Source organism: Homo sapiens, chromosome 2 (genome assembly GCF_000001405.40).
Source record: "Homo sapiens chromosome 2, GRCh38.p14 Primary Assembly".
NCBI classification, from domain to species: domain Eukaryota; kingdom Metazoa; phylum Chordata; class Mammalia; order Primates; family Hominidae; genus Homo; species Homo sapiens.
In genome coordinates this window covers 223,019,145-223,026,519 of record NC_000002.12, presented here as the reverse complement: position 1 = coordinate 223,026,519, position 7,375 = coordinate 223,019,145, and the positions used below count along the sequence as shown (strand labels likewise).

The following is a 7,375-nucleotide window of genomic DNA, read 5'->3' as shown; positions in this document are numbered from 1 at the left end:
TTTAAATTACATATTGGCCTTAACTAGGTCCAATATTTACTATTCAACCCCCTCCTGCTCACCTGAACTTGGGGTTCTTAGTTGCATGGAAGTAGGGTCAATGAATTAAATGTTTCTGATGTGCTGATTTGCATCTGAATTCAGGGGAGTCACTCAAAGTTTGGGGTTCCAGAGACACTAACTTCAGTGACTTGAAGACTCAGCTTTCCTTGAAGCAAGGACATGAAATATATCACAGATCTAACAAAAAAAATTGTTTTTAATTTTAAGTCTGGTAATGCTGAAATGGAACTGCAAAGATCAATCACAGGGACTGTTAAGGGAGAGAGTATTTAAAGATTATCTAGTTGGATGATCTTTCTAACGACTTTTTAGCACTGGAGCTCATATTATTATTATTTATTTATTTATTTAGGTGGAGTCTCATTCTGTGCCCAGGCTGGAGTGCAATGGTGCAATCTCGGCTCACTGCAAGCTCTGCCTCCTGGGTTCACGCCATTCTCTTGCCTCAGCCTCCGAAGTAGCTGGGACTACAGGCGCCTGCCACCACACCCGGCTAATTTTTTGTATTTTTTAGTAGAGACGGGGTTTCACCATGTTAGCCAGGATGGTCTCCATTTCCTGACCTCGTGATCCACCCACCTTGGCCTCCCAAAGTGCTGAGATTACAGACATGAGCCACCACGCCCGGCCTGGAGCCCATATTATTAAAGATAACTCACACAGAAGCCAAATAAACACAGTAAGTAAATTCTGAGTTGCTGTAATTATTTAATAAAACAGGGTTGGAGGTTCCAAAGTCCCTATACCCACTGACCCCTTTCTCTTTGGTGTCCCCTAGGGCTCCTCTTCCAAACCCTTGGGCTCCAAAGACCATATTATGAAAACCACCAATCTAGTTCAGTCTTCTTGCTTTATGTTGCCCAGAAACATATGAGCACAGTGACGTGCTCATATTCACTTAGCAAGCTAGTGACTGGGCCAGAATAGAAACCAAGTCTCCAGACTCCCAATTCGCTACTTGAAAGACAACAGGCTACTTCTCTAGATGTGTTCACATAATCTCTGGGCCTGTGAGTTTCCTGCCTGTATTGGGAGCATTTCCATTGACACTTATCTTCTGGTTCTGAGGTCAAATATACAGCTGCTTCTGCTGTAAACATGCAGAACCCTGATGTACAGAAATCTCATGAAAGGATGACCAGCACGTCCTTGGAGTGGAAGCCTGCCAAACGAGGTAACAGAGAGCAGGGTCTGCATGTTCCACCATCGACCCAAGTTCTCACGCTAGTCCTGTGAGCAAAGATGCATCGGTTCTTGGAGATGGGAAGGCTCCCAAAGATCATCTACTTTCTGAGGCATTTGTAAAACAACTCATTTTCCAAATGAGAATGTATTTGTCCTGGCACTTTATAAACTGATGAGTACTTTAGAGCTGTAAACAGCCATGTCTGAGAGGCAGCTTGGACTAGAAAGGGGCTTCTCAATGTGAGTGTGACACATGGACCACCTATTTTGGAATTACTAGGGGTATTTAGTAAAAATGTGGATTCCTGGATTGAGCATGAATCTGCATTTTAACCAACCATCCTTAACCAACTATCTTCTACATATGCCACTGGCATAGTGGAAAGTACATAGCCATTAATGGCAAGAAGATGTGTTCAAAACCCAGCTCTTCCACCTTCAAAGTGTGGAATGTTGGACCAAACCGCTTAACCTCTCCATGTCTCGCATGCATAGCTGTGATGTTCAGGGAGAGGTGGTAGACAAACTTCTGGTAAAATCCTGAACCAGAGAAAGAAGCTCCCATGCCTGCCAAGGGGTTCTCTGGCTCCTTTCCAGATGCACTGGGTCAGTTGGTTCTGGCTTCTGGGAGAACTCCCTACTATAGCAAAGCAAATCCCTTCATAGCACACTGACCTGCCTCCCCTATCAATCACATGTCAGCTTCCTTCCAGAAGTCCAGGGGACAGCTCCAAGCTTCTAATGGCCCTGCCTTGGCTTCATCTCCCTTGAGGCTGGAATGACAAAATGAAATCTCTTCTCTACCGTCCATTTTACCGTCTTCTTTCTTCTGACTCCTAATGTTTTTTAAACAGTAAAGTATGCCTGTAAATAGTAAAGTGCTAGAGAAGTGTAAATTGCTAGTTTTATTACTATCATCCATGAAGGAGTTATCGGAGTGGTTACAGCTCAGCTAGAGAAAAAGGAACCACACTCAAGACAGAATGTAAGATGGAAGGTGGTGCAGGGGTCCCTGTTGAAAGTGTTGAGATTGATCATCAGTGCCACAGGCAAGATAGATAATTATCCAAAGATGCTATAGGTTAGGGAAGGACTCCTGTGATCAGTGAGATGTGGTCTGCAGAGGAGTAGAAAAGGGCAATGAGGCCAGTATCAACAAAGACTTGACTTTGGGACCAACACCAGTGAAGAGGCCCTACTTGAAAGGAACAAGGCCAGGTGTAGTAGCTAACACATGTAATCCCAGCTCTTTGGGAGGCCGAGGTGGGTAGATCACTTGAGACCAGGAGTTCAAGACCAGCCTGGGCAACACAGTGATACTGCATTTACTAGAGAGTAGTTGGTACCCCATTTACTAGAGAGTAATTGGTAGAGCGTGGTGGTATGGAGTGGCTGCCCCACAGCCCTTGAGGCCCCTCCATACCACCCCATTGCCCCTCCTCAACCACTGAGATCATCCAGGTTGAAATAAGTTTATCTCTATTAAGATGCAATGTAGATAGCATGATTATATATCCCAGTTGCATGGTATGAGTCTAGTCTACATGTAATTATTCATAGCATTTCCTTTCATTATCAGTAATGTTCCACCTTGAACACTACATTACATGGTCACTCAAAGCTTGGGGATTTAACTAATCCCCATTCTTCCTCAGTGGTAAAAATTAATATGTTCCTGAACTCTGTTCTTCATTAATTTAATGATTCTTATGCTTTCATGCTGGCTGTCCACAGGCCAGATACTACTTGTAGATGTGTAGGTTGGGGTGGGAGGGGTCTTTGAACTGTTTTTAAATTAACTTGAGTTAAAAATGGTTGAGTTCTTTGGCATTTTTAATTTGAGAAGTTTCCCCTGAAAGCCTGGATTAGGAGGGTTCTCTTGAAAGATCAGGTCTGCCGTCAATGAAGCTACAATTCCTCCTGACAGCAATTGCCTAGGCCCAAGCTTCCAGGCCAACCCAGCCTTCTCCCAGATCAGGTATTGTTTTTATATTATCTACCTGCTGTAATTTATCACGTCTTGTTACTATATTACCTGCTGCTGTGGGCATGTGAGTTTGTAGTCCCCACATTTATATAAATGTATTCATGCTACGAGTTGAATTGTGTCACTCTAAAATTTGCATGCTGAAGTCCTGACCCCAATACCTCAAGATGTGGCCTGATTTGGAATTAGGGTCCTTGCAGATGCCATTAGTTAAGATGAGTTAATTAAGATGTGCCCCGATCCAATATGATGGATCCTTATAAAAAGGGGAAATCTGGACACAGAGATACACACATAGAAAAATGCCATGAACTTGAAGGCAAAGACGGGATGCTGCATCTACAAGCCAAGAATTCACCAAGGATTGCCAGCAAACCACCAGAAGCCAGGGAGAGGCATGAGAGTCTCCCTCAGCCTCAGAAGGAACCAATCCTGTCAACACCTTAAGCTCAAACTCTAGCCTTCAAAACTGTGAGAAAATACATTCTGTTGTTTAAGGCACCTAGTCTGTGAAACTATTATGGCAGCCCTAACACATTTATACAATTTATGTAACTATAAATTATATACATGTATATAATTTTATAATGCCTTTATATAATTTTACATATACATTTATATAATTTTATATAAATCTGTGATTCTCAGTCAGGAGCAACCTTGCCCAAATGGGACATTTGGCCATGTCTGGAGATATATTTTTGTTTGTTTGTTTGTTTGTTTGTTGAGACAGAGTTTCACTCTTGTCACCCAGGCTGGAGTGCAGTGGAGCCATCTCAGCTCACTGCAACCTCTGCCTCCTGGGTTCAAGTGATTCTCCTGCCTCAGCCTCCCAAGCAGCTGGGATTACAGGTGCCTGCCACCTCGCCTGGCTAATTTGTGTATTTTTAGTAGAGACAAGGTTTCATCATGTTAGCCAGGCTGGTCTTGAACTCCTGACCTCAGGTGATCTGCCCACCTCAGCCTCCCAAAGGGATGAGGTGACAAGGTGTGAGCCACCATGCCCGGCCTGGAGACATGTTTGGTTGTCACACCCGGGAGGTAGGGATTAATCAGTGGCGCCTAAGGATGCTGCCTGACATCCTGCAATGCACAGGATGGCTCCCACAACAGGGAATTATCCAGGCCCAGGTGTCAATGATGCTGAGTTGGGAAACCCTAATATAGATGAGTACCATAAAGTCATGTTCCACGTGCCAGGCATTCGGGCTTTGCAAGCATTAACTCATTTAATCCTCCCTAAATTCTATAGATGATATTATTATCCCTAGTTTGCTGATTACAAAACTGATGCTGGCATGATGAGAGGTTAATTAACTTGCTGTCATGAACCCTGGTGTTTTGACTCAGAGACTTTGTTTGAAGCCTATCCCACACGGATATCCCAGCAGGTCAGTGGATTGAACCCCAGAACAAATGTCCCCTCTCTCCATAACTCATTTTATCCCAGGGACCACCTCCTGAAGCTCCCACTGTTCAGTCTAGAAACTCTGAAAATGTGTATTATAACCTTCTTTGTCACGCTGTTTCCAGCATGTTCTGTCTGGCAAAAGGGATTGGGACTAAATGGAATCAGGATCCTCTCCTGTGAAATTACCAGGCTCTTCACATAGCATGTCATGAAAACTGGAAACTGGAGGAATGATTCCCAGGCTTTTAGCCTGATGCATTCCTTCCTCATTCAAACTCTTGTTATAAAGTGTATGAGAAATGGTGCAATCTGCTGTAAATTGTCACCAGGTCACCCTAATTTCCCCTCAGTAGCCTAGGGCACCGTGTCCCTGACATCACACAGAGGCCACATTTAAATGTAAATAACAGCTGTGAATGCAGGATTTTCAAAGGCAATGAGCAGAGTCCGCTCCTCAGAACAGAGTCCTCTTATTTCATGTACGAGGGCTTCAAATGGGACCGTCCAGTGTGTCACTTGCCTCATGCTGCTGACATTTCCTCCTCTGTAAAACAAGGGAAATAATAATGCCAGTAGCAGTATAGGGAGGGTTACATGAATTAATATATAATTAAGATGCTTGCTGCTGTGCTTGCCACATGGAAAGGGCTCAGTAAGTGTCAGCCACTATTACTGGTAGACAACTGCTTTCTCCCTGGGTGACCTTGACTAGTTTTCTGATCAGTAAAATGGGAACAACACACACATAATACCTTCTCCACCAACATCAATAAATTGTTATGAGACGTAAGTGAAAAAATTAATTCAAAATCAATTCGTACATGTATTCAAACCTAAAGACATTAATATTAGTGGCCTGATTCTCTGTGGGGGATGCCTAGGCAGGGTGAGGTGGCTCGTGCCTGTAATCCCAGCACTTTAGGAGGCTGAGGTGGGAGGACAGCTTGAGCCCAGGAGTTTGAGATCAGCCTGGGAAAATATCAAGGCCCCATCTCTACAAAAAGTTTTAAAAAAATTAGCCAAGCGTGATGGTTTGTGCCTGTAGTCCTAGCTACTCGGGAGGCTGAAATGGGAGGATCGCTTGAGCCCAAGAGATTGAGGCTGCAGTGAGCCATCTTTGTGCCACTGCACTTTAGTCTGGGTGACAGAGTAAGACACTGTCCCCCCAAAAAAGAACAAATTATAGCCTAGCTGGCACATATACACATTAGCAGGAAATTCAACACCCAGTTCTCCCTCTCGGCTCCTGGGGTAAGTGCTCTAATTCACCACATGCAGTCATCCCAGGGCCTGCTTGCTCTCTTTGTACCCAGTGCTTCCACCATCTGACTTGGTCATGTCTCTTTCTACTCTCAAGATGAGTAGAACTTTCTACTCTTTCTACTTTCTACTCTCAAGATGAGGCCACTGATCGCAGCCACATCTGCTGTCTAAGCTGAGAGACTTCAGTAACTGAGAGTCTCAACCAAAGGTTATCGGCGGCCCTGTTCCTTTCCTTTTGGAAAGCCCCATGAAAATATTCCTACCTCTCTGCAGCTTGCAAAATTCATGCAGCATTACTTTCCTTCACCTATGCATAGTTTTTATTCTCCAGATATCCTGCTTCACCCTCAGCCTGGAGAAAACCATTTCAGTTCCTTGCAAATAGTGCCCCCTGTCTCCACTACCCTCTAAAAACGCCTCCTCAGAAGATGGGTACCAGCAGTCTCATAGACTGAATAACCCAGGTTCTTTTCTATAGATAGGTTCCTCAGAAGACGTGCTTCGGGGGAGAACACTAGTCAGCTTAGTGTTAGGCCCTCCCCAAACACACCAGGAACAGTGTAAGGATATCTAAATCCTAGACTCCCAAAGATTTTATCAGAAGGATTGATCAATTTTTTTAGAAGACCACAACTCCCAAATTTCCATGACCACCTAATCTCACCTTGGTTTGAACCACACTCTTGGTGAGGAACAGATCATTGCACAGGGCCACCATTTGGAAAGGAAATAAATGGAAGTTGGCACAGGAAAGTGGTCTCAAAAAAGACAAGATTCATCCACTGTTTCATTATTTGTGCGTTCTGTCTTCTACGTTGGCCCTTCAAGAGAAAGCTACACAAAGCTTCTGTGACATTTGCAACATTGCCCAGCTTCTTCTCACAGGACTCAGGCAGAGCTCTCAGGGCCACCTTGTGAACCAGGACTGCACTTCCCTGTCACTCTGGCTTTACTGGAGAGAGATAGCCTGTCTGTTACCCTTTGCTGTGTCAAAGCTGAGCAGCTTGCAGTGAGATCACTGGAGGAAATAAAATCCCAGTCCTTATCTGCTTACACTTGGACTAACGGGAACTCATTCAGATGTGCCAGAAATCTGTGGGAAAAGGGAAAGATCATAAAGGAACTTTTGGAAGCACAGAGTGTAAGATATGAATGAATCAGGAGGCAAAACAATTACAAGTTTCTCTACCTCTGTGTCTTTTTAATCAATGTACTCTTACAGTGCTGTCCATTACCTTAGGTTTGGTCAGTGATATGGTTTGGCTGTGTCCCCAACCAATCTCATCTTGAAGTGTACCTCCCATAATCCCCACATGTCATGGGAGGGACCCAGTGGGAAGTAATTGAATCAGGGGGGTGGGTTTTCCCGTACTGTTCTCATGATAGTGAGTAAGTCTCACAAGATTTGATGGTTTTATAAAGGGCAGTTCCCCAAACACACTGTCTTGCCTGCTGCCATGTAAGAT

The 7,375-nt window shown here is 44.2% G+C and overlaps 1 annotated feature.

Moving 5' to 3' along the window:
• Nucleotides 6,835-7,129: a silencer, noted in NCBI's record as "tiled region #15139; HepG2 Repressive non-DNase unmatched - State 21:Repr". NCBI's record gives its function as "represses a minimal TATA promoter and a strong SV40 promoter by Sharpr-MPRA in HepG2 cells {active_cell/tissue: HepG2}" and the evidence as "EXISTENCE:reporter gene assay evidence [ECO:0000049][PMID:27701403]".